At 40.3% G+C, this 27,122-nt stretch overlaps 1 protein-coding gene across 3 annotated transcripts in view, besides 2 other annotated features; it reads left to right on the top strand.

The window, feature by feature from the left end:
* The window catches only part of CD200R1L (CD200 receptor 1 like), a 31,154-nt gene continuing 7,893 nt past the window's right edge, over positions 3,862 to 27,122 (top strand). The window contains exons 1-7 of one of the 3 annotated variants that reach the window (NM_001370552.3): positions 3,862 to 4,101; positions 4,776 to 5,047; positions 9,382 to 9,479; positions 12,716 to 12,784; positions 21,342 to 21,407; positions 23,042 to 23,359; positions 23,485 to 23,733. In NM_001370552.3, the coding sequence (NP_001357481.1) occupies positions 21,359 to 21,407; positions 23,042 to 23,359; positions 23,485 to 23,733 (616 nt within the window). In that variant the 5' untranslated portion in view covers positions 3,862 to 4,101; positions 4,776 to 5,047; positions 9,382 to 9,479; positions 12,716 to 12,784; positions 21,342 to 21,358. The remainder of the gene's footprint in view (positions 4,102 to 4,775; positions 5,048 to 9,381; positions 9,480 to 12,715; positions 12,785 to 21,341; positions 21,408 to 23,041; positions 23,360 to 23,484; positions 23,734 to 27,122) is intronic. The other 2 variants (NM_001199215.3, NM_001008784.4) reach the window with 2 other exon arrangements.
* Positions 5,768 to 5,927: a silencer, noted in NCBI's record as "fragment chr3:112563646-112563805 (GRCh37/hg19 assembly coordinates)". NCBI's record gives its function as "represses an EF-1alpha promoter that drives an FKBP-Casp9 reporter gene in an ReSE screen in K562 erythroleukemia cells {active_cell/tissue: K562}" and the evidence as "EXISTENCE:reporter gene assay evidence [ECO:0000049][PMID:32094911]".
* Positions 25,687 to 26,187: an enhancer, noted in NCBI's record as "H3K4me1 hESC enhancer chr3:112543386-112543886 (GRCh37/hg19 assembly coordinates)". NCBI's record gives its function as "activates a minimal SCP1, AML or CMV promoter by ChIP-STARR-seq in naive H9 embryonic stem cells {active_cell/tissue: H9 hESC(naive)}" and the evidence as "EXISTENCE:reporter gene assay evidence [ECO:0000049][PMID:30033119]".

Here is a 27,122-nt window from a genome sequence, read left to right as displayed (position 1 = left end):
TCTGTCTTACTTTAAAAAGCCAGTCTTCAAGCTCTGAGTTTCTTTCCTCAGCTTTTTGTATTCTGCTCTTCATACTTATGAATGCATTATTAAATTATTTTAGTGTGGTTTCAGATCTATTAAGTTGGTTACATTCTTTTCTATACTGGCTATTTTGTCTGTCAGCTCCCGTACCATTTTATTGCGATCCTTAGTTTCCTTAGTTTGAGTTTCAACATTCTCCTGAATCTCAACAATCTTTGTTGTTATCCATATTCTGAATTCTTTTTCTGTCATTTGAGCCATCTCAGCTGAGTTAAGAACTCTTCTTGAAGAACTAGTGTGATCATATGGAGGAAAGAAGATGCTCTGGCTTTTGTAGTTGTCAGAGTTCTTGTGCTGCTTTTTTCTCATCTTTGTGGACCAATGTTCCTTCGATCTTTGAAGCTGCTGTCCTTTGGATGGGCTTTCTTTTTCTTTTACCCTATTTGATGATATTAGGGGTTTGTTTGTGGTATAAGGTGGCTTCATTTCTGGAATGTTTTAGAGGTCCAAGGCTCAGCTCAGGACCCCTGGACTTCATGCTCTAACTCTGGGGTTCTATTATTGGGTCCTGGTTTTGTTCTTTGGCTTCTTGAGGTTAGGAAGGAACCTGCTGCACTGGAGGGGCCATGGTGCTCCAAGCTGGTCACAACACTCTAATGGTTACAACACTCTAATGGGTGGTGCCAGGCAAACCACTCCATAGGGCAGTAGCAGTGGGATCCATCCTGGTTCACATGTACCAGCAACAGTGACAGTGGCAGCATGTCAGGGTGCACACTCATGGACTTTACCAGGGTGCTAGTTGGTGCCAGGCTGCCAGCCTCCATGTGGTTGTTTGCAGCAGTATGGTGGGATCATAGCTCAGGGGTGCAGGGCCCCTGCCAGTGTCTGTGCACTCATTTGTGCCATTCATGGTGTTAGCATGGGGACAGGTTACTGGCAGATGCAGAACTGTGTGTGCCCTCTGCAAGAGTTCACACTGGCAGCCTTGGCTGCTCAGGACAGGGGTGGTTCTGCTTTTCTCCCTCCATAGTTTCTCTCTGGTGGCAGTGTCAGAACAGGGTAGTTGCAGGTGGGGGCAGGTCTAGTGTGCTCCGTGCCTGCCAATGCTCCAATGACAATGGCTGTTCAGCAAAGGGTAGGAGCGGGGTGCACTCACATTTGCAGCAGTGACAGGGCAGGGTGCATGTGCACACACATGGTAGTGTGTAAGGGAAGGGAAGGTCCCCTGGTGCACACGTGCACCAGCAAAGTAATGTTGGTGGGGGAGGGCTGGCAGCAAAGTGACACAAGTGAGCCTATGGATGGGGGAGGGTGCAGGCGAGCTGGTGTGTGTCTGCAGGGTCTGCTCTGCTGGAGCACTCTGCCAGTCAGGCATGGTCCACCAGTGCAGAAGTTATGATCTGAGCCGCCAAGAGGTACCTGGTACTTGGAGCCCTGGGAGAGGCCAGTAGACTGAGGGGTGCTCAGGTCAAACCAGCCCCATCTCATGGGCAAGACCACCCTGCAGAGTTAAGGTCCAACAGTTACCCTAGGGACAAAGTCTCCTGTGGCAGCAAGTTGAGCCTAAGGGTATGGGTAACCCTGGCTGTGCTTCACTACAGATGCTCTAGAACCAAACTCTCTGGGCTTCACACCAGCAGGAGCTCTGCTTCTATCACTTCTCTAAGCAGGTCTTTCTATCAGTTCAAGTGTCCGTGGTGGTCCAGGGGTCTTCTCCTGCTGGGATTCCAGAGGCCCATGGTGAAACTGGGTTGCTCCTTGCCTGTTTAACCCATCATCACCTTGCAGGAGTCACTGGGGGCCAGGAATGAGTTCTAGTGTTCCATAGCTCCATGCAGCATTTCCATCTTCCTCCCCCTTCAGCCCAGCATCTGCTTCTTCCCTCCATCTGCTCTCAGTGCCTTCCCTCTGAAGAAGGGCTAGAAGTGTGCCAGCCTTTCCAATGCCCGGGTGTCTCAGTGGAAGATATTCCTCCTGGCTGTTTCTAGTTGGCCATCTTGGAAGAGAAATCCCTGATTGAAGATCTGTTTGCAGCACAACCTATTTCATAACTGAAAACCTTGGGCTGTTGGGAATTTTAAATTCAGCCACACTTAATTGAGGCTTTAATTATGCCATTCAGTTCTAGTGCTTTGATACATAACAGCAGTATCATGGATACTGACCTCACCTTTGCTAACTGTGCACCTCAAAGCTCCTTGACTTAAATGATATTTGCATATCAAGCCCCTAGGCCTAACATTGCCTTCATATTCCACATGTGGTTCAGCCTCGTTATAGTACCACAGAGCCACAAAAATAAGACCCACATCAACTCAAGTTTGTGATCATTTGAAAAGGATGTCCCACATCACAGTTCCAGTTTCAGTTTCACATTATAGATGATATTACTTCGGCCCAAGACTTTGACCTTGAAGATGAATTTGCCCTTTTCCCCAGAAACGACTTCACCCTGGACACTGAGACCACCACCCCAGCAACATCCATAGGCTGGCTTTCCTAAGGAGCTAAAAAATTGGACACAGGACATTTATCATTTTACTTCCTTTGATATAAGAAATTCTGTTTCGTTTCCTGAGTTCACCATTTGCTTAAACTCTTGTTCTTTGCCAAAGTGTACCCCTTTATACTTCCATGCCTAAAGGAAAATCTGGTAGAGTGTATTACTCTTTGAGCCATTCTAATAATTAATGAGATTATTGCTTTCCCCAGGAAGCAACTGCCTCATATGGGTTCACCACTTAACCCCCTGGAGAGAGGACCTCCCATTGCCCATTACCTCCTCTGACACTTTCCATTCCAGTTTGCCACCACAACATCCTGCCCTGCACCCATGACCCACAGCTGCTACCTCTTCCTCTAGGTTACAAACGTCATTAATCTTTACATATACCTTACTTAACTAACTTCATACTCTCCAAAAATATAATTGTTGGACCTGCCACCTTGAACCCTGGAATGTACCAAGAGATTACCGTCACGCACACAAAAATATAGCTCATGTTTTAACATACTTTAAGTCAATCAGGATATTGTTAGAGATCTTGGAAATCCCGGATCTGTTTTCTTGGCTAAGGCCATACAATGTGAAACTTGGTTATGAACCAGCCTACAAGGACTCTTTATACTCCTACTTGTTTTCCTCCTTTTTAAGGAGAAAATAATAAAATTTTTGTGTGTGTGTGCTATTTAGGGCAATGTATGCACTACTTACTAAAACTCTGCTCTACAACTTAGGCCACCCAAATAATTCAAGTAATCAAGCTTAACACTAATGTGGAGATCAAGAAGTCAATTTTAATATAGTTTTCATGTAAAAAAAAAATGCCTTCTAGTCCCAGTTTTGAGCCCCTAACAGTTAGCTCCCCTTCTTGAATATCTGATTTAAGTCCCCCCAGCCTCTTCCCTTATCTGGTTCTCACACTGTATGTCACTATATACCTGCCCTAATTGCCCAGGGCTAAGTACCAGACAACTACAAACAGCCCCATGGACAGCTATGTCCTAGAGCTTGTGAAGTTATTCAAATTAGCTAAGGCACAGGGTTCTCAGGAAACCTAATTCTACTCCAATTACCATATATAAGGTACTCTCTACAGCTCCAGTGTGTTGTTACCCTGTCCCTGTGTGCAACCACTGTGTGGCCCTACATGGAATTCTTCTCTTGTTTGGAGCTATAAGTAACAAAGAGGTTTGCCTTTCACCTATCCAAGAGTCTTCATGTTGTGTCCTGTCATCAAAAGAATCTTTAATCTTATAAAACAGAAGGGTAGAATCTTTGCTTCGGTCTTAGTTTCCAGTGGTTTCCTGGCAACCTTTGGTTTTCCTTGGCTTGTAGAAGAAACATCACTCAGATCTCTGCCTTTTATCTTCACATGGTGTTCCTGTGTATGCGCCCAGTTTTCCTCTTTTTATAAGGACACCATAAAAAGCTAAGAAGTGCAAAAGAAGAAAAAAAGAATAAACCAAAGACGCCAGTCATATTGGATTAGGGACCAATCTATTTCAGCATGGCCACATCTTAACTAATTATATCTCCAATGACCCTATTTCCAAATAAGGTCATCTTCTGAGGTACTGGGGATTAGAATTTCAACAAATAAATGTTGGGCGGGGGTTGCACTATTCAACCATGACTGAAAGTAGTTATTAAAGACACACATATGACTATCTTATAACCCAACAATTTAATTCCTAGGTGTATATCCAAGAAAATGAATGTACACATAGACCAAAAATTATGTACAAAACAAGAATGTTCTTAGAAGCTTTATGTTAGCCCCAAACTGGGATAATGTAAATCTACAGAGAAATTGATGAATAAATTGTGATATAGTTATTGAAAATTTACTATACAGCATTAAAAATTGAAATTTGCAAAGAATTTCATGCATGTGAAGTTCAAAAACTGTCAGAATGAATTAAAGCTATTAGAAGTCTGAGTAGTGTTTACTCAACTTCTCTGGAGGAGATGATATCAGCAGAGAAGGAACAAAGGACACTTTGGAACAAAGGACACTTTGAATAATAATTATCAACATCTTGGTTTTGGAAGTAATTAGATAAGCGCATATATAGGTAGAAATTCATCAAACCATACACTCAAGATTTGTTCATTTTACCATATGTAATTTATACTCTCAAAATGCTACTTTTTAAATGAGTTGTTATATAGTTTATCTTGCTACTTCAATGTTGTGGGAGAAGCAATGAGTAGTAAGCATTGGCTTTTTTGCTTTATTACACAGCAAAACTCACTGACATTTCCCATCAGTGGTTAATCAGTCAAAAACATATAGAATGACAGCAAAAATTAAAGATAAGCAAGATAATGAAGAAATATGTTTTGCAATCCTGTTGAAGACAGAATAAGCAAAAGTGACCAAGAGAAACAGATTCACCAAGTCTGTTGATTGATTTAAAGTGGATTTATGTTTAAGTAGAAAACCACTCCAAAAGCATACTTTAGGGAAGATGTCAGCTCCAAGATTACTGATTTCCATCATTATCATGGTGTCTGGTAAGTCTGATACTGTGACATTTTCAGCTGAAAATAAAGCTTTCTTTCAATGATTATGAGGATACTCTTGATCTACTTACTTATAAGGTGTTTCTTGACTTGTCCTAGCAGCAGTGATAAATGTGTACATTATCCAGCAAAACTCCTTCTGAGTTGCCTTATCCCAGTGGTGTACTGACTAGGTGACTGGCTGAATTCAGAGTAATTGGGGGCTGGGATTGAAGTGAAACTAAAATTTTGTGACCTAAAAGTGGTCCTGGGCTGCTTTTGTTGGTAGATTTTTAAAATTACTGATTCAATTTGAGAACTTGTTATTAGTTTGCTTAGGGTTTCAATTTCTCCTGATTCAATCTTGGGAGGTTGTGTATTTTCAGGAATTCATCAATCTCTTCTAGATTTTTCTAGTGTGTGTGCATAGAGGTGTTTATAATAGTCTCCGAGGACATTTTGTATTTCTGTGAGATCAATTGTAATGTCACCTGTGTAATATCTGATTGTAGTTATTTGAACCTCCTCTTTTTTTTTCTTTGTTAATCCAGCTAGTACTCTATTGACCTTGTTTGTCTTTTCAAGGAGTCACCTTTTGGTTTTGTTGATGCTTTGTATAGATTTTTGGATCTCAATTTCATTCAGTTCTGCTCTGATTTTAGTGATTTATTTTCTTCTGCTGGCTTTGGGGTTAGTTTATTCTTGTTTTTCTAGTTCTTCTTCAACTTCCTCTTCTTTTTATTTATTTATTTACTTATTTATTTTTGAGACGGATTTTAGCTCTTATTGCCCAGGCTGGAGTGCAGTGGTGCCATCTTGGCTCACTGCAACCTCTGCCTCCTGGGTTCAAGAGAGTCTCTTGCCTCAGCCTCCTGAGTAGCTGGGATTACAGGCACCCGCCACCACACCTGGCTAATTTTTGTATTATTAGTAGAGTCAGGGTTTTACCATACTGGCCAGGCTGGTCTTGAACTCCTGACCTTGTGATCCACCCCCCTCAGCTCCCAAAGTGCTGGGATTACAGGCGTGAGCCACCACGCGCGGCCTTTTCTAGTTCTTCTAAGTGTAATGTTAGATTGTTAATTTGAGATCTTTCTAACTTCTTGATGTAGGTGTTTAGCACTATAAACTTTTCTCTTAATACTGTTTTTGCTGGATCTCAGGGATTTTTATATGTCATGCCTCTGTTTTAATTAATTTTAAACAGTTTTTGATTTCTTCCTTAATTTTATTGTCTACCCAAAACTTATTGAGGATCAAGTTGTTTAATTTCCATGTAATTGTATAGTTTTCAGAGACATGCTTGATATTGATTTCTATTTTTATTCCACTGTGGTGTGAGAGTATGGTTGGTATGATTTTGACATTTTTTAATTTATTGATACTTGTTTTGTGGTTGAGCATGTGGCTGACCTCAGAGCACGTTCCATATGTAGATGAGAAAAATGGATATTCTGTGGTTGTTGAGTGGAGTTGTCTGTAGATGTCTGTTAGGCCCAATTGATCAAATATTACATTTAAGACCAGAATTCCTTTCTTAGTTTTCTGCCTTGATGATCTAACACTGTCTGTGGGATGTTGAAGTCTCCAACTATTATTAAGTGGCTAAGTCTTTCCACAGGATTAGAAATACTTTTTATTTTTATTCTGAGTGCTCCAATGTCAGGCATGTATATATTTAGGATAGTTAATTCTTTTTTTGATTTGAACCCTTTATCATTATGTAATGCTTTTCTTTGTCCCATTTTTATTGTTGTTCGTTTAAATTCTGTTTTGCCTGATATAAGAATAGTGACCCCTGCTCTTTTTTGTTTTCCGTTTGTGTGATAGATCTTTTTCCACCCCTTTACTTTCAGCCTGTGTGTGTTGTTAGGTCTGTGTGAGATAGGTCTCTGGAAGACAGCAGATGGTTAGGTCTTGTTCTTTTATCCAACTTGCCACTCTGTGCCTTTTAAGTGGCACATTTAGGTTAATTCCATATTAATATTGATATGTGAAGTCTTGACTCTGTTGTGATGTCATTAGCTGGTTGCTTTATAGTCTTGATTGTGTAGTTTCTTTATAGGGCTATGTCTTAAGTGTGTCTTTGTAGTAACAGACATTGTTCTTAAATTTCCGCATTTAGAACTCCCTTAAGGATCTCTGGTAAGATTGGCCTAGTGGCAATGAATTCTCTTAGTGTTTGCTTGCTTAGGAAAGATTGTATTTCTCTTTGCTTATGAAGCTTAGTTTGGAGAGTATGAAATCCTTGGTTGGAATTTCTTTTCTCTAAAGATACTGAAAATAGACCCCAATCTCTTCTGGCTTATAAGCATCCTGCTGAGATGTCTGCTCTTAATCTGATGGGGTTTCTTTGTAAGTGAGCTGGCCCTTTTCTCCAGCTGTTTTTAAGATTTTTTTATTTCACATCGACCTTGGAAAGTCTAATGACTATGTGTCTTGGAGATGGTCATCTTGTGTAGTATCTTGCAGTTGTCTGAATTTCTCAAATTTGCACGTTGACCTCTTTAGTGAGATTGGGTAAATTTTTGTTGACTATATCCTCAAATATGTTTTCTAAGTTGCTTACTCTCTCTTCCTGTCTAGGGCAAAGTTTAGGTTACCAGGAGGCCCACAACTCCTTGGAGACCCGCTGGTCCTCTGAGCTTGGCAGACTCAGAGCAGGTTTAACAAAGATCACATGCTTCTGAGGGAACAGGACAAAAGGCAAAAGCAGAACTACTGATAAGGGTCCAACAAAGATCACAAGGCAAAGGGCAAAAGCAGAACTATGGATAAGGGTCTATGTTCAGCGGTGCATGTATTGTCTTGATAAACATCTTAAACAACAGAAAACAGAGTTCGAGAGCAGAGAACCGGTCTGACCACAAATTTACCAGGGCGGAGTTTTTCCCCACCCTAGTAAGCCTGAGGGTACTGCAGAAGACCAGGCGCATCTCCCGCATAAGACAGACATTCCCGGAGCAGCCGTTTATAGACCTTCCCCCAGGAATGTATTCCTTTCCCAGGGTATTAATATTAATATTTCTTGCTAGGAAAAGAATTTAGTGATATCTCTCCTACTTTCACACCCATTTATAGGCTCTCTGCAGGAAGAAAAATATGGCTCTTTTTGCCCGACCCCGCAGGCAGTCAGACTTTACTTACGGTTGTCTTCCCTTGTTCCCTAAAAATTACTGTTATTCTGTTCTTTTTCAAGGTGCACTGATTTCATATTGTTCAAACACACATGTTTTACAGTCAATTTGTACAGTTAACACAATTATCACAGTGGTTCTGAGGTGATGTAAATCCTCAGCTTATGAAGATAATAGGATTAAGAAATTAAAGACAGGCATAAGAAATTATAAAAGTATTATTTGGGAACTGATAAATGTCCATGAAATCTTCACAGTTTATGTTCCTCTGCCACGGCTCCAGCTGGTCCCTCCATTCAGGGTCCCTGACTTCCCGCAACACTGCTGTGGTGCCTGTAGCCTGAGATTCTTTTCCCAGAACATGGTGGTGAAGACCACCCAGCTTGTGTGCTCTCCTGACCAGTTTTCCCTCTGATGTTGGTCCCAGGAGCAGGCCCAACCAGCTAGTTTTGTCCCAAGCCTTCTGTGTCTAGATCACTGAGGTGTTCCAGATGTTGTGGGCCGTGGAGATCCCTTGGGCAGAAGCTGAAGCTGGCCAACAGGCTAAACCCTTACTTGATCAGTCTCACAGATAAAGGGATGCCCAACTACTATGCCAAAACACAAACCTACTCCTTACTCTTCTCAGTGTTCTGAGAGTGGGGGCTCCTCTCTGGCTTGAACTTAGGCCACAGATCTCATCTTGATACCTCTGGGTGGTGTGCTTGAACCCTGGACTTTGGGATCGAGTGCATGGTTTTATCCTCTGACACCTCAGGATTGAGCACCAGGTGTTCCGGGGGGGCCAAACTGCTCCTGGACCACTGCAAAACACCCAGGTGGAGAAATGGAGGCTGTGCTGTGTGCACCCTATTTCAGGAGTGGCAAGGCATGGGCCTTGGGTGGGGCTGGTGGACAAGGGTAGATTAGATACACCCTAGTCCTGTGGGAAAGGCAGCCTTTCCTTCTGCCAGCCTGGCAGTCAGCAAGGGCTAGAATCACTCAGAAAAAGATGGCAAACCTTGGCGATGACTGCATATGGCTGTGTTTTGCTGCACCTGCCCCACATGAGAAATCTTCTAGGCTCCATACAGGTTTGAGCTGTGCCTCTGCCTATTCTTTGGGCATTAAGTAACCATGTATTAGTTCATTCTCACATTGCTATAAAGAACTACCCAAGAATGGGTAATTTATAAAGAAAAGAGGTTTAATTGGCTCACTGTTCCACAGGCTGTACAGGAAGCATGGCTGAGGAGGCCTCAAAAAACTTACAATCATGGTGGAAATGTGAAGGGGAAGCAAGCATGTCTTCAAATGGCCAGCAGAAGGTGAGGAGGTGCTACACACTTTTAAACAAGCAGATCTTGTGAGAACTCTATCATGAGACAGCACTAGGGGGAGGGTGCTAAACCATTAGAAACCACCCCATGATCCAGTCACCCCCGACCAGGCCCCACTCAGGATCACAATTTACAATGAGATTGGGTGGGGAGCCAAACCATATCAAACCATCAATATATTTTTCCTCTTTTCTCTTGCTATCACTAACATACATTCCGGATCCCTGATTGGGATTAAGGAGCAGATCTGTGGTTATGAAATAGCTCTGGACTGTGTGATGCTAATAGCTCCTAAGAATCAAAACAACCACAATTACTTTTAAATAATAATGACAATAATAAATATAAAATATGTATATAATTTATTTAATAATCACAGTCACAATCAGCATATTTTTTCCAGGAAGAAATGACATTGTTCATGTATTAACACCCAGCAAACAATTTCAGTTTTTCTAGCTAGAATTCTAGCAAGAAGTGGGGAGAGTTTATATGCAGATTCTGGTACTTTTTTCCTCTGGCACTCTCATTTTTCCATATACTGAAGCAGTTCTGATATTTTATTTTTATTTAGTGTAGACCACAATTTGGTCCATGTTTAAGGTCACTAAACAAATGAATAGTGATACAGTTTGGGTCTGTGTCCTCACTAAATCTCACGTCTAATTGTAATCCCCAGTATGGGAGGTGGGGTCTCGTGGGAGGTGATTGGATCATGGAGGTGACATTCTTATGAATGTGTTAGCACCATTACCTCAGTGCTGTTTGCATGATAGTGAGTGAGTAAGTTATGAGATCTGGTTGTTTAAAAGTGTGTAGCATCTCCCACCCACAACCCCTTCCTCCTGCTCTGGCCATGTGAACATGCCTGTTCTGGCTTTGCCTTCTGCCATGAGTAAAAGCTCCCTGAGGCCCTCCCAGAAGCAGATGCCACCATGCATCCCATACAGCCTGAAGAACCATGAGCCAACTAAACCTCTTTTCTTTATAAATTACCCAGTCTCAGGTATTTCTTGATAGCAGTGCAAGAACTGACCAACACACACAGAGCCCTTTCTAATGCCTGGAGCTACAGCACTGAATCTAGAATCTCTGCCTAAGTGGATTCATATCAATAATTTGGCCTCATTCAGCTTTGTCTTTTTCATTATTCCACATCCTTAATATTCATTCCTATACATATTGTCCAGATTTATAACTGTATATATTGGAAAAATCATATAGATATTTTGGTGTGTGGTGTAACTTCTTGTGGGTCACACTCTACCTCACTTTTTGGGCCCTGCAGGGACTCAAGTCTAGTTATAAGTCTGGAAGCAAAGAGGAGTGAGGGGGAAGATCCTGAGGAGAATAGAAAGTGTCTTTTAAGGCAACTAGTTGAAGAAAAATCATTACAGTTTCTTCAGGCAAAGCAGGGGATTAACCACTTCAAACAGGGGTGGGAGGGCTGCTTCTATGGGCAAAGACTTAGGAGACTTTAGAAATTTTATGTGCTCAGTTTCCTCAGCTTTTGCCTATATGTTCACATTCCAATTTTCAGGACCCCTTTCCTTTTCAATCAAGAACCTCACTCCAGCAGAGGATACTCTGACAGGTTAGGAATTCAATTTGTGTTGTCATTCAGCCTCTTACGGGATAAGTTTTGGTATCTGGAAACTTCAGCCTTGCTGAGAAGATAGGGGGTTCTTTCACGGCAGACATAGAAACTTCCAGTTCATTCACATAGTTTAAGTTGAGAATTTGAAGCCCTGAACTCATCTTTTTCTTTATCCATTTGGGCAGCAAATTAGGAGAAACGAGCCAATCTTGTTATATGTAAATGTTCTAAAGTATCAAATACATGATCACTCAGACCTTGCCTTTTATAAGTATTTGACTAGGATTATCCAGTTGTGACATTTTCGCATATCTCTATTGTTACTTCATGCCATGGACTATCAGTGTGCCCTCTAGCACTAGAAATATAGTCATTAGTGCTTTTAAATCTAACTAGATTAGATGACCAATTCCAGAAAACCCCGAAACAATTCTGAAAATTTATCCTTAAGCTTCTGTTTCTTGAGGACCACTTATGGTACCAAATCTGTATCAGTCAGGGTTCCACCAGAGAAACGTAATGAGTAGAAAGTATGGAAAGTATGTATATTTATGTGTGTATGTACGTGTGTGTGTGTATGTGTGTGTGTGTTATTTCAAGGAATTGATTATTGCAATTGTGGAAGCTGTTAAGTTTGAAATTTTTAGGGTGGACTTGTAGTCTGCAAACTCTTGGGCAGAAACTAATGCAACTAATGCTGCAGCCTTAAAGAGAATTTTTTTTCTTACTCCGGAAATCCTCACTTTTTCTCTTAAGGCCTTTCAGCCGATTGAGTGAGGCCCATCTTCTTTATTGAGAATAATCTCCTTTACTTAAAATCAACTGATTGTAGTTATTAATCACATACAAAATACCTTCACAGCAATGTTTAAATTAGTGTTTGATTGAATGATTGAATACTATACTCTAGCCAACTTGACACATAAAACTAGCTGTCACAGGAGGATACACATTTTTTTCAGGTGAACACAGAATATTTACCAAGGTAGACCATTAAATGAGCCGTAAAATAAATCACAATAAATTTAAATTTATCTAAGTAATTATTTTTAAAAGGCTTTCTGTTATTGAGACCAGCAAATGATCTCATGGTTTCCTGTTTCTTTGTCATTTTTTACCTTGAGAGGTTTCCCTTACCGTTTTTTTTTGTTTGTTTGTTTGTTTTTTTTGCAAATTCAGCCATGCATTTGAAACAGGCATTGTTCTAGTTCATCCAGTACTTCTAAGTTTTTTATTTGAAGTGGGGGAGGTTGTCTATCATTTCTATAATAGTTCTGGAGATGGAACTTTACTCCTGGGCCCTGCATTGAACTCTTCCACTGATTAGAAGTGGATGTGGCTGGCAAAAGACTGGTACAGACTGATCTGTTATAATAACATTGAATGAATCATTTATTCATAACTACAAAAGAAATGTCAAAATCCTGACATACGTGCATTTATCTAGTTATGGTCTCACTGCTGATTTCTTTTATGTAGAGGTTTTTTTGGTGTGATTATTAATTAATTTAAGGAATTGAAATGTTGTTTTCTGTGATTATCTTATATGAAATCAGTGGATTCTAGTCCATTTCAGTAAAGAAAAGTTCTTAATTTTCTCCATATTTCTTCTTTAAATATTTTCTAGCCTCAGATAATAATTCCTGTCTGATGACACAACTGGAAATACAAAGTTAGAGAATACGTCTTAATGAAGGTAAAATGCTCACTTACTTAATAACCAGTTTGATGGGAGGGTTGGATCATCAGCAGAAACATTTACATGATCATTTGTCCTGTGTGCAATTTTAACAGATACCTCTCTGCACACTATTGCTTGAAGACCAAGCAAGGACCGACTTATTCAATTTAATTCAACAACAAAAAGCAAACATGTAGATTTCTTAGTAGCACACAAAAATAGAAGCTAAAAAGAAGAAAACTTACAGCACCTTCAAGTAGTCTACATATTCTGGTCTTGGAATTAGACAAGGATACAGAATTATATTACAAGGTAGAATGAGAGGAGCACTACAATACAAAACCAGTGTATTACAGAGAGTGGCTTTTGCACAGGCTCTAGAAGGATTTCAGAAGGCATAAATTATTGGAAAAAAGAGGCCAGGGGATCATTGTGGACTAAAGTACAGGGTAGAAAGGCACATAAAATGTTCAGCCAATAGAAGCAGTCTGGGGTGGGAGGAGTTTAGTGTGCATGCTGGATTGCAGTGAGAGCAGAGCCTGGAAAGTCAAGTTGTACTCAAATGGCGGAAGGAAGTAGGAAAGGTAGTAATAAAGTCAAAAGAAGAACAGCATGAATTAAGAAGTGGAAAGCTAGAATTTATAAATGATTCCAAGAACTGATTTTTTTAATGGGATAAAGACTATTCTAAATGGGAAGTAAATTTAAAAAAATACACAAAATGTGGGGAGAAAATCAACAATTAACAACAAATATCAAGAAACCAAAGAAATATAAAAGAATATTTTGTACAATTTCTCCTATTAAATTAGAAAACTTCCATGAAATAAATGTTCTAGTGGAAAAGTAAATTAGCAACTGGCTCAAGATGAGATAGAAAACATGAATAGATAGAGAACCATAGAAGAAATTGAGAATTACTGCCAAAAAATGTGTGGCCTTAGATTGCTATGTAAGAGAAATAGTTTACATCACTTTAAGCCTTTAAGGAACAGATAATTTTTATGTCATTTAGTTTTCCCATAGAATAGAGAAAGGAGAAATGTTTTCTAAATTTTACAAGTATAACTCAGATATCAAATCCTGACAAAGTTAGTATACAAAAAACTTTCTAAGCTAATTTCACTTGTAAATGCAGAGGCAAAGATTCCACATATCAGCATATCAAATCAGTAGTGCACTAAAAGAATTAAACCAACAACAAGGTAACATTTTTAGGAATGTAAAATAGTTGATATTAAATAATCTACTAATATACTTTACCTAATTTTAGATTAAAGAGAAAAAAGAATCTCACAAACTGTTCAGTATATGTCAAAAAGGTGTTTGGCAAATTCGTCACTGTTGACTTACAAAACATCCTAGTGAAATTAGGATCAAGGATACATCCACAGCAAGACTGAGTCTTAAGCATAGACCCCTGAGTGGTCTGAGGCCTGGTTGCCAGGCCCTTAAAAGACCTTCCTGATTTATGCATATTTAATGATTTACAATTAAAGCTGGTTATGAGAGTACAAAAGGCATATTTCTCCCTACTCCCATTATATAAAAACAGTCCTATTGATGCAGTGGCGGGCTGTCTGGAGTGGCCACTGCCATCAGTAGGACTTCTGCCTATTGATGTCCTATTCTGCAGTCCTATTCTGCCTATTCTGCAGTGGCCTTCTGCCAGCTGCAGAAGGGAGGTGCAGGTGGTGGCAGCAGGAGTGGCTGTGAGAGCAGCAGTGGCGGTGATGGGACCTCTGTGCTCCGTGTCTGCGAGGCAGCTGACCGCACTACCCCCAGTCTCGCATGGCCAGGCAGGACCCACTACCAGGCACTGAGCCTTTACTATGGCCTCAACCTCACTCCCTGCTTCATCCTGGGAGCCCACAAGCACCTGGCTGAAGGCACAGTCAAGACACACTGCTGTCCCTGGTCGCATTGGGTTCATTTGTGCAGGGTTGGCTGGGGCCACCATGCCACCTGCTCTTTGCCTACTGCGGCTGTGGGGAAAACACAGAGAGGGGGTGCAGCCAGAGCTGTGCATTCCATGAAGCCAACAGGAGCTGGGAACAAGTGGGAGGCCTGCCGCTTCTAAGTTGGCAGGGAAGGAGCCGCCCAAGCTGCGGCTGCAACCTGGGCACCCCTGTGCTCTTGGGAGCTGGGAACAGGCAGAAGCCCTGCCACCTTGGCCCCCTCCAGACTTTGGGCACCAATAAGCATGGGAGAAAGGCCGAGGGGGGTTGCTGAGGGCAGCTTGATGTTGGCCTGCAGGTGCCCCTCGGCATGAACAGCATGGACACCATGAAGAGCAGCAGGAGGTAGAGAGGCTCCAGGGCAGAAAGGTGCAGGCCCCTGGTGAAGCCCCACCTTCAAGCTGGGAAGGCCTGAAGCCTTGGTGCTGGGCTACTGGTCCCGCAAACTGAAATTGGAACTTGTAGTGCTTTTTCTGAGCCCACCTATGGGCACCCATGGACCAACTGGCATGCACTTTCTCCCCTCTGGGGCCATAATGGGCCAACCAGCTGCAGAGAGGGGCTACCTTCTCTGCTGAGAGCTGAGTAGATAATGGGACAACCTGCCTGTAGAGAGCACCTGCCCACTATAGGGTTTCCTCTCTGCTAGGAACTGAACACTCAATGGGATGACCTGCCTGCAGAGAGGAGCTACCCACTCTAGGGTTTCTTCTCTACTAGGAACCAAACACTCATCAGGACACCCTGGCTGCAGAAAGGAGCTACCCACTCGGGTCTCCTCTGAGCTGTTCTATCACTCAATAAAGCTCCTCTTAACCTTGCTCGCCCTCCACTTGTCTGCATACCTCATTCTTCCTGGTCACAGGACAAAAACTCAGGACCTGCCAAATGATAGGGTTAAAAGAGCTGTAACACAAACAGGGCTGAAACACGCCCCTTGATTGCCACATTGTGGATGACAAGGAGAGAAGAGAGAAGGAGAGAAGAGCTGTGGCTCTTTGGGGAGCCCAGACCTAGGAGCTCCCTGAGCCAGGGCTGTGACACCCTTTTAGGGCTCTGCAGTTCCTGGTGTCTCCAAGCTTCTGGGCACCACCACATTCCCCAGAAGCTGTTTATGGTATGCCTGTCAAGCTGCAGCCTTGCAGGGAGCTGGCACCCATGCCAGCACTTGGAGCTGCCCACTCCTCTGCAGGTAGTGTGCCTGGCTGTGTGCAGTGGTTGGATCCCATGCTCACTCACACATCCCTCATTGGTCTGTGCCTGGCTCGTCCTTGGCAGATGTGGGATCCAGGCCAATAGCACCAGCCAAGTGCTGCCTGCCAGGCCAAATAGGCAGAATGAGCCCAGTGGATCACAGCAAAATTTGGGCAAAGGTGCCATTGGCCACAAAGGTTTCCAGCTGGCAAAGTGACATCCCAAAGATCCCATAGCACTATTGTCTCATGATGATCAGGCTTAAATTACCCCTGACAAAAGGCAACTCCATTTTGTGCCTACTGGTATACTAGGGGACAGCTATAGCTTAGCTATAGCTTAGAGGAATTCTTAGTGTGTCTCCTGGTAGAAGTATCTCCCCTATGAAACTCAAGATCCTAGACTCACAAATCTAAAATTACTGGGATTTGGAAGCACAAATTCTCTAAACGAGTCAATAAGAATGACAATGAAGGGAGGTGGAGGTTGCAGTGAGCCGAGGTCATGCCACTGAACTACAGCCTGGACAACAGAGTGAGACTCGGTCTCAAAAAAAAAAAAAAAAAAAAAGAATGATGGTGAGTGAGACTACCCCACTTCTACTCCTTGTCTCTCAGATCCAGTTTATTCTATGAACTGGGGAGCTAGGGACACAGCACCCTCCTAAAGGGTGGTGTCCCATCCTCATAAGATATCATTTCCAAACGTTAGTTGTGACTTCCAGAGGCTGTGCCAGTGCTCCATGAAGCTGGCAATTTCTGAATGCATCCACATGCCTCTACCCCACACCTTCTTGTCCTCTACCTTCCAATTTTGACTCTTCCAGGTCTCTGACCAAACAAGCCAAACCATTTGCCACTGCTTATGAGTTTATCTCTTTTATTACTGAGTATTACATTTCTTACTTGAGTGTTTTTCATCATCACTGTCTTTCAGGGCCAGACCAGAGTGGGGCTACAGTGCCACAACAGTCCACTTTTGGCTTATATCACAGACTGAGGCAACCCATCCATAACCCATCCAAAGCTAAGCTTTGGGTTTTGGTCCTAGGGAACACACAGGGAGGGCTTAGATGTGAACTGAGGGAGAGATGACAGTATAACAGTGGTATATGAAGTGGGGGCCTGGACCATTTGTTCACTAAAATGACTGGTGTTCTCTTGAGTCTGGAGCCTGAGCCCCATTGTAGCCATTTCTGTTTTACAATGGAGTGCTACTGGGTCCACTTTACTTTATGATTTGTTGGGTCTAATAGTATGCAGCTTATAATGGGTTGTTTTAGGAGCCTGATCATTTCATATCCCATGATTAGATGCTCAGTCTTCACCAGGGTCCCGTAGCATGCCATGAGCTATTTTTTAAAAGGCAACTAGTTATCTGCTTCAGATGACATAGATTTACCCCCAGAACCCTAGGCCTGCACTGTGACTGTCCTACTGGACTTGTCTGAGGCTCCACATTTCATCTTTATCACAGAATCTTCTTGTATCACAGATCTGCCTGATTTTATGAACTTATTGTCAGGGCTGGTATACTGTAGCATGGACCTGTTACAGATTCCTTTCTTGGTCTGGAGCACACTTGGACTAGCATCCTATTAGAGGGTCAGAGCAGTAATCGCAAATATGCAGCAGGCTGCCTCCAAAACCAAGTGTTGTGCTACTCAGTGGTAGGAAGTAAGGTTAAATAATTTGTCCTTTTTTCGAGAGGGGATATATGGTAGGGTCCAGACCACTGGCCTACTAGAAACTTCACTAATGTGTCAGGCCCTGAATCTTTGTAGAATTGACTTCTCACCTCTGGAATGCATGTGATTAACTAAGGTATTCATAATAACTCTCACTTTTTGCTCAGAAGATCTAATTGATATGATGTCATCAATATAGTAGACCAATATGATGGTCTTTGCAAAATGCCCAGATAGCCTAGATCTTTTTAGATTACATTGTACATGAAAGTAGAAATTAAGGCAAGACCATATTTATATACTCTCTACTGTCCTGTGGAATACAAACTTATTTTTGATGTTCCTTCCTGATGAATGTTGAAAATAATGCATTTACCAGATCAATAACCACATACTGCAACTGGAGTATCTCTAGTAAAGATAGCTTATCTGGCAGAGTAGCTGCCGTTGGGGCTGATACTTTGGTAATTTTGCATTGATCTACTATAATTCACCATCCAGTGTTTTGCAGGGATCTAACTGGTAAATTAAGTAAGAGACATGATGGGGACCACTATTTTAGTATACTTTAAGTCTCTGAGAGGAGACTCATACTTAGGTCTTCAGTATTAATATTTATTTACTATCTTCGCCAAGGGGGGTGGTTTGGGGGATTTATCTTGGTCTTTCCTATTATAATAGCACTTACTTTACAGATCAAGGAATCAACAAGATGGTCTGCAAGCTGCTAAGCATGTTCATTCTAATTAAATATTCAGCAACTGAAAAATCACCACTGTATAAGTCTGTGGACTTTGAAGGTCCACTGTGATATGAACCAGGCCCAGGATTTCTTTTATCATCTGACTCCGATATGTTTCTACTCTAACAGGAGGCCCTTAATGTTCTTTGTGTTCTTGGGTATCAGGATCAATTCAGATTAGTATTCAAATAACCTTCAAAAGATCCTTGTATTCCTTTTTCCCCAGTTATGGTTACCTAAACACATGGTCATAGGTTCTTTGGTGAAGGACTAGGGGAATAACTATTGCAACAGTTCTCAAAGTGTGGTTTTCAGATGGCTGGGATAACCAAGACCCTTTCAGTGGGTCACCTCGGTAAAAATGAGTTACAATAATAATAATAATGATAATACAGTGATGTTATTTGCCTTTCTACTGATATTTTCACTGATAGTGCAATTGAACTGTTGTTTAAAATTACTGGTGCCTTAGCATGAATGAAGTGCAGAGCACTGTATTAGTTTGCTAGGGCTGTTGTAACAAAGAACCATGGAGTGAGAAGTGGAGGCAATGGAAATCTATTGTGTTACAGTTCTAGAAACTAAAACTCCGAGATCAAGGTGTTGGCAGGGCAATTCTCCCTCTGAAGGCACTACGAAAGGATCTGTTTCAAGCCCTTCTCCCAGCTTCTGGTATTTCCTGGCTTGTGCAGCATACCTCCAATTTTTACATGGTGCTTTCCCTGTGTCCATATCTGTGTCCAATTTGCTCTTTTTATGAAAACACCAATTGTATTGCGTTAGGGGCTCATGCCGCTCAAGTATGACTTTACCTTAGCTAGTTATACTTGTAATGATTTTATTTTCAAATAAGATCACATCTCTGAGGGTTAGGACTTCAACATGTAAATTTTCAGATATACAATTCAACCTATAAGAGGCACCAAGCTGTACCAATAGTCATTGTATTCTTCACTCACTCATGCACACACGTACACATTGCCTAAGAATGTCTTTGATGATTCAGTAAAAATAATTAATGTATTAAATCTGAAGCCTTATATACAGTATCTTTTAAGTATTCTACATGATGGAATTGGAAATACATTTAACACATTTTTGTTGCATACCAAATCATGGTGATTATCCTGAGGAAATGCATTTATATCAAATGTTTGAGTTGCAAGCTGAAGACAATTAGTTAACCATAACTAAAATTATACAAAAATCATTGTAAAACAGAAATTAAACGTTATGCCATCATTAGAGGAAAAAACATGTTAACATCTTAAAAATTATACTTATAAGCAACTAATAGTGATTTCTCATTCATGAGATGCTTTGTTTAGTCAACTAGTTTGTATGAGGTAACCATGCCTCCCCCCTATTCCTCCTTCCCCAACCAAGGAGATGGGTCCGTGTGGATATCTCACATGAGCTGGTCCAATTATACTCCTTTCTCCAAATGCTGGAGACAGCAACTTTAAATGAAATTTCTCTGCACTTTTTTTTTTTTCCTTTTTAACCTAACTCCTCTAAAAGAGTGAAAGAAATGAACACAAAAATATCTCTCCTCTCTCCTCTCCAACCACTTTTTTACATCCAGGGTGGGTAAAATACTTATTAAGAAAAAGAAGGGTTTTATGGGACTTTAAATGAGACCCAATAGAAGAAATTGGCATGTAGAAATTTTTATCATTTTCGTTTTCTTGTTGTGTCCAGTTAGCACTTCACTGTCTTTACTAATGGATACAAAGGCTATGCTCTGTTGCCATCCCATCCTATTGACAAGTGTGATGGTAACAGCATGGGAAATACTCATCAGAAACAATTCTTCCTGCATCAAAGCCTACAGGAAAGAGAGAAATGAGACAATGCAAAAAAAAAAAAAAAAAAAACTGCAATGACAAGAGTATAACGTAGGCCTCCAGTCCTGACTGGAATCTTTCCCTTTGGGTTGATCCCATTGTCCTCACTCATTATGGGTATTACAGGTGAATAATGGTAACACCTGATGGGAATTTCCATCATGGATATCACCCATGATGATGTCCACTGAAAGGGTCTTGGCTATCCCTAGCCATCTGAAAACCACGCTTTGAGAATTACTGCAACATTCATTCCCCTAGGCCATCACTGAAGTACCTAATCCTAACCATACCAAGTGTTAGGAAAGGAACATCATATATTGTAGCATTGCACATCATCAGATTTGGACTGAAACAAATGTCTCTCTAAATTTCATATTCTTTATGTTAAGATTGAAGCACTTTTTCCTTACCTTTCTGCAGTTCCCCCGAAGTGACCCTGTTTCTAAGCAGGCATAGAGCTGTGGTGTGTAAGACAGTTGCAGCAAAGCCAGCTGCACAGATCTCCTGGACCCCGCAGGGGGATTGTGTCACCAACCAAGAATATTGGGGCAATGGCACAGTGACTGTTGGGAGTTCATGTCACTGGGAGGGCCACAATGTGTCTACCATGACCTTATGATAGGCACATTTGAGTAGCAACAAGAGTGTCTATAGAGCTACTTCCTGGTTAGTAATTATTCCAGTTTTGTGTTCATTTCTTTCACTCTTTTAGAGGAGCTAGGTTAAAAAGGAAAAAAAATGTGCAGAGAAATTTCATTTAAAGATGCTGTCTCCAGCATTTGGAGAAAGGAGTATAATTGGACCAGCTCATGTGAGATGCCCACATGGACCCATCTCCTTGGTTGGGGAAGGAGGAATAGGGGGAGGCATGGTTACCTCATACAAACTAGTTGACTAAACAAAGCATCTCATGAATGAGAAATCATTATCAATTGCTTATAAGTATAATTTTCAAGATGTTAACATGTTTTTTCCTCTAATGATGGCATAACTTCTAATTTCTGTTTTACAATGATTTTTGTATAATTTTAGTTATGGTTAACTAATTGTCTTCATGTTGAGTAAGACTGTGGGGAAACACTTGTTTCCATTCTGAGTACATAAAATTGATTTCGCTTATTCTTCTCTAAATGTTTTCTAGCTTCAAGTAGTTCATGCATGGGTGGAAAGCAGATGACACAGAACTATTCAACAATTTTTGCAGAAGGTAATATGCTCCCTTAGTAGTGGCCAGCACTGAGGGATGGAAAGTTGAACTTCAGTAGAATCATTAGCTGATGGCCTGGCTGGAGGCCAGCCTTGTGACTACTTGAAGAACATGTTGATCTGAGTGCTGTGGTACGAAGGACCCTGAATGTCCCAGTCTCTAGTTCTCCAAACAAGCCATACTCTTGCTTACCTCTGAACCTTTGCTAAGGTGGAGTGCTGGAAGGAGCGTGGATTTAATGACCTTTCAGGTCTGCGTTAAAGTCCTGCTTCTTTCTGCATCTGGTTATGTGATCATTATTTGACTGTCAAATATAAGGGTTAAAGTACCACATAAGAGACAGGTGACACCAAAACAGGAGAGGAGAGATATTAATTGCAGGGTGTAGCAAAAACAAACTTCATCCACATAAAGTTTTGCCCCTCTGCAACTGATTCTGCTTATGCTATAGTGATGAGATCTCTGACACTCACCTTTGTTACAGGTGAGTAGTGACAGATACTTCGGCAGAATAAGTACCTCTTAGTAAACCCTGATCAGTTGTGGAAACATTGTGTTGGCTTACGAGATGCATGAGAATCTATGTTGGCAGATGCTTGTAGGATGCAGGGCTTAATTTTTACTTTAAAAGATGGACAGAAAGGAGTCGACTTCTACATTTACACCTGAGAATTGGATTGAATATACAGAAATAAAATCTATGAGGAAAGTTTACCACTGAACTCTCTGGGGTTGTATGTGTGACTAAACAGGAAGGAAGGAAAATATCCAAAGGCTATATTTGACAATGTCACCAATTTGCAATAAAACTTTTTCATGATAAATGTCCAAAGGAAAATAAAGCTTTTTAAAAATTATATGCCACACTACTTTTTAAACTAGAAATGAATATTTCTAAACATCTTATCACTAGGCATTTTTTTTTACTTACATGGGATGGCTCAACTGGCAAAATTATAGATTTTTTAAAGATCTGTGGATCTCACTGACTGTAATTCTCTAAACAAAACATGTAATTATCTAAATAAAACATGTCCAGCTAGCTCCACTTGAATGCCGTATTAGTTACCTTTAATGAAAGAACCACAAACTTTCCACATTTATGGTTGTCTGAAATAACAACCTTAGAGACAGGTATTTAACTTTGATGTTACTGATTTTTCTTGTGCTCACCAAAACGAAGGAGGAGACAATCACATCACTAGTTATTCCATTTTCTTTTCCAAGGCACATGAATTGTATGATAAATACAGTAGTCTCTACCACCTAAAGATTAGATTTAGAACATTGCCTTTGTTGTTTAAATTATAATTCTGTTTTCTTTTCTGTTTCTAGATATTAAAACTCCTGAACTAAAATCAGAATACTTTATTGTATTTCAGAATACAATGTTATGTATATTGTTTTTCTAATAATACATAATACTGGAGAAAGTTTGTTAATCTTTAGATTGGGTTCAATATATTATTTATATTTTGTGAATGTTATTTTCTTACCTAAGTCTAATATTTCTGGAATAAGATCAGCAAATTTATGTTCTAATAAAACTTCATGTAATATACTGTGGATAAACATAACACATGAAGTTCCTTATCAAGGTTTTCTATATCATTATCCTTTGTGTGTGTGTCCAGGTAACATTTCACAGCCTGTACTGATGGATATAAATGCTGTGCTTTGTTGCCCTCCTATCGCATTAAGAAATTTGATCATAATAACATGGGAAATAATCCTGAGAGGCCAGCCTTCCTGCACAAAAGCCTACAAGAAAGAAACAAATGAGACCAAGGAAACCAACTGTACTGTTGAGAGAATAACCTGGGTCTCTAGACCTGATCAGAATTCGGACCTTCAGATTCGTCCGGTGGACACCACTCATGACGGGTATTACAGAGGCATAGTGGTAACACCTGATGGGAATTTCCATCGTGGATATCACCTCCAAGTGTTAGGTAAGGAGCATCACATACTGAGGTATTTCACATCACCAGATTTGTGACTGAAACAAATGTCTCTCTGAATTCCATATGCTTTATGTGAAAACTGAAGCATTTTTTTCCCTCTTTCCTCTCTGCAGTTACACCCGAAGTGAACCTATTTCAAAGCAGGAATATAACTGCAGTATGCAAGGCAGTTACAGGGAAGCCAGCTGCCCAGATCTCCTGGATCCCAGAGGGATCTATTCTTGCCACTAAGCAAGAATACTGGGGCAATGGCACAGTGACGGTTAAGAGTACATGCCCCTGGGAGGGCCACAAGTCTACTGTGACCTGCCATGTCTCCCATTTGACTGGCAACAAGAGTCTGTCCGTAAAGTTGAATTCAGGTAAGCGCCTGTTTCTTGTAGAAGAGTAAACTTGATGCTCAACTTTTTCTTCCATAGAAAATAACGAATAACCAAACAGCAGGTAAGAAAATTTGAGCTCCTAGCTTGAAAATATTCTCTCAAACTGAGAAATGCATTACAACGCTAGAATCTGTCTTTTAGTAGAACAGCCATAAAAATAGATTTTGTTAACTTAGTGATCTATAGGCCCTTACTTTGAGATTAATTCTTGATATGAAATATCAAGAGTTTTATGTAGTTTTAACAATCCTTGTTCAGTAGATAGCCCAGAATGACAGCTATTTTCTTCCTGATTTTATTTCTTGTAGTAGTTATTACTTTGTTACCTTGAGTAAGAGACAAGTAATTCTTCCCGTCTCATCATCCAAAAGCAATATATTAATTAATTCTCCAAATATTTATTGAATGCTATTTATAAGTTTGAAGCTGGTGATGCAAAGATGAAAAGCTAAGGTCCACATCTTTATATTGTTTTGGGCAGGATAATCTGGTGTTTAGGAGCAAAGCCTCTCACATAACATGGCTTTTTGTTCACCAGCTATATGAACTTGAACAGTATTTAATATCTCTGTCTCATGGTTTCTTTGTCTGTTAAATGAGGATAATAGGATCTACCTAATAGGATTATTGGGTTAATTAAATAAAATTACATATATATGAAAACATGTTGTACATATAATTGTATTAATATACCTACTACATAATTGACACTCAGCAAATGTTAGCCACTAGATTTCCTTATATTAATAAATGTTGGTTATTATATATATCGTATTAATAAAAATTAGCTATTGTGATAATTATTACAACTAATATTAAATATAATCATATTAATTATTCCTCATAATATCTTTCATGTTTGTTCTTTTCTTTTTTGCATCAGCTTTATTGACATCTAATTTATATACCATACATTTCACCCATTTAAAGCATGCAATTCAATGCTTGTGTGACCATTGCTACAATCAATTTTAGAGCATATTTATCACCCCCAAAAGGAAACCATGTATTCGTTAGCTGTGTTTTCCATGATCAATCTCCCATCAAGTCTAGCCTCTTACTTCATACGTCTTATCTATAGATCAGTCCATTTATCTTCAGTATTACCTGATCTTCCCTTCTGTAGTACCAACATTCAACCCAAATTCTAAATCTTTTTTCCCTTTTATCTCCTTAGGAGCTTTTCTTCATTCTCCTCTCTCTTTTGTTTAGTTTTTTTGTTCCTTAAATTATTTTCCTAAAGCTGCTCATAAAACACGCCTATTTTTCTTCTGTATCCAAAAACTTGGTGTTATGACTTCCTCAAACATTAACTCTTGGCTTCTACTCATATCCAAGAATTTTTTTAAAAGAGGAGCCTACACTTACTGTCTCTTCTATATCACCTCACATCTATTCCTTAACTCATTTGTGTCTCCCTGCGCAGAAAATGCTCTGACAAAAAGCATCTCCCAAGTGCCAAATAAAATATAAATGTTTCATTCTTTGTTCACTTAATTAGCTTCTTTGTAATATTTATTATAATTATTAATTTTAAATATCTAATAATATATAATTTTATATAATATTTACTAATTTTAAATATTTTATTAGCTTTTTAATAATACATTTTATGATCCTGTACCCCATGCATGTGGGCCTCTTTGGGCTCTTCAAAAGTGTTAAGTGCTTCTATTCCTCTGTTCCCTTTTACATGCAATTTCTTTTTTTTTTTTTTTTAATCTTTGTTTTTTGAGACAGAGTCTCGCTCTGTCGCCCAGGCTGGAGTGCAGTGGTGCAATCTCGGCTCACTGCAAGCTCCACCTCCCAGGTTCATGCCATCCTCCTGCCTCAGCCTCCCGAGTAGCTGGGACTACAGGCGCCCACCACCACGCCTGGCTAATTTTTTTGTATTTTTTTGTAGAGACGGGGTTTCACCGTGTTAGCCAGGATGGTCTCGATCTCCTAATCTGGTGATCCGCCCGCCTGGGCCTCCCAAAGTGCTGGAATTCCAGGCGTGAGCCACCGTGCCCGGCCTTACATGCAATTTCCACCTCTCCATAAGGCACTTCTTTCCCTATACTTTCTTCTTCCATTGCATTTGATCAATTCCTGTTGAAGTTTTAAAACTTAGTTTGACATTGATCCTCTGGGATGATATTCTCTTGCCTTGAATTTTGGTTAGCTATTCCTCCTCTGTGCTCACAGAATGCTTCATGCATGCCTCTGTCAGAGCACCTCCATAGCCCTGTAATTGACTGCTTGGCACTGTTTTCATTCACAATGCTTCTGACACAATGCTCCTTTCTGATGCGTTTTCCTCGTATTCTCACTTGGTTCTTTTCTTAACTTTCAGTCAACTTTTTCGTTTTCTTAAGTAGATTTATTTCTTCTATTCATCTCATGAATGGACACATTTCTATGTATTCCATCTTTGTCCATCTTCTTATTCTACCTTTGTACTTGAGTAACCTCATCCATACCTGTGGCTTCAACCACTGTCTAATTTTTGACTCTCGAGTCTATAGTTCTGCTCAGATTTCTCTCCTTGGCTACACAGTGACCAAAACCAACTTCCAACTGGACAGCTTCTCCTGCATGCATCAAGGGCACCTCTACTTACATATTTTTGAAACCATTCTGCTCTACTCCTTCATGAGCCCTATATCTGTATTTTATATCTTGATAAATGACTCAAGCTAGAAACTTTAGAATATTCTACAACATTTCTCTTTCTTATTCCCCATATTCAATGCCAGTCATGATGTTTTGTTGATTTTACCTTAATTTTTTTCTTACATCTGAGTCTTTTTCTTTCTCCCTACTGTCTTAGTTGGTCAAATAGTATCTCAGGATACTACTTGTATCTGATTTGTATCCAAATCAGTAATCAGGATTATTGCAATGTCCTTGTAACAACTCTTCCTGGACCCAGCTTAACTTCCTCCAATTTATCTCCTCTACTGTTTCTGGAGGGAACTTTCTAAAATGCCACTCTTCTACTTACATAACCCCAGTGGCCTCTCTTATAGTTCGTATTGAGCTAAACACTTTGACAAATCACAACCTGCCTTGCGCTTCACTATTCTCCATCCTGTACCCCATGCATGTGGGCCTCTTTGGGCTCTTCAAAAGTGTTAAGTGCTTGTATTCCTCTGTTCCCTTTTACATGCAATTTCTACCTCTCCATAAGGTACTTCTTTCCCTGCACTCTCTTCTTCCATTGCATTTGATCAGTTCCTGTTGAAGTTTTAAGACTTCGTTTGACATTGATCCTCTGGGATGATTTTCTCTTGCCATGAAGTTTGGTTAGCTATTCCTCCTCTGTGCTCACAGAATGCTTCATGCATGCCTCTGTCATAGCACCTCCACAGCCCTGTAATTGAGTG

Source organism: Homo sapiens, chromosome 3 (genome assembly GCF_000001405.40).
Source record: "Homo sapiens chromosome 3, GRCh38.p14 Primary Assembly".
Taxonomy (NCBI): Eukaryota; Metazoa; Chordata; class Mammalia; order Primates; family Hominidae; genus Homo; species Homo sapiens.
This window is presented reverse-complemented; position numbering and strand designations above follow the sequence as displayed.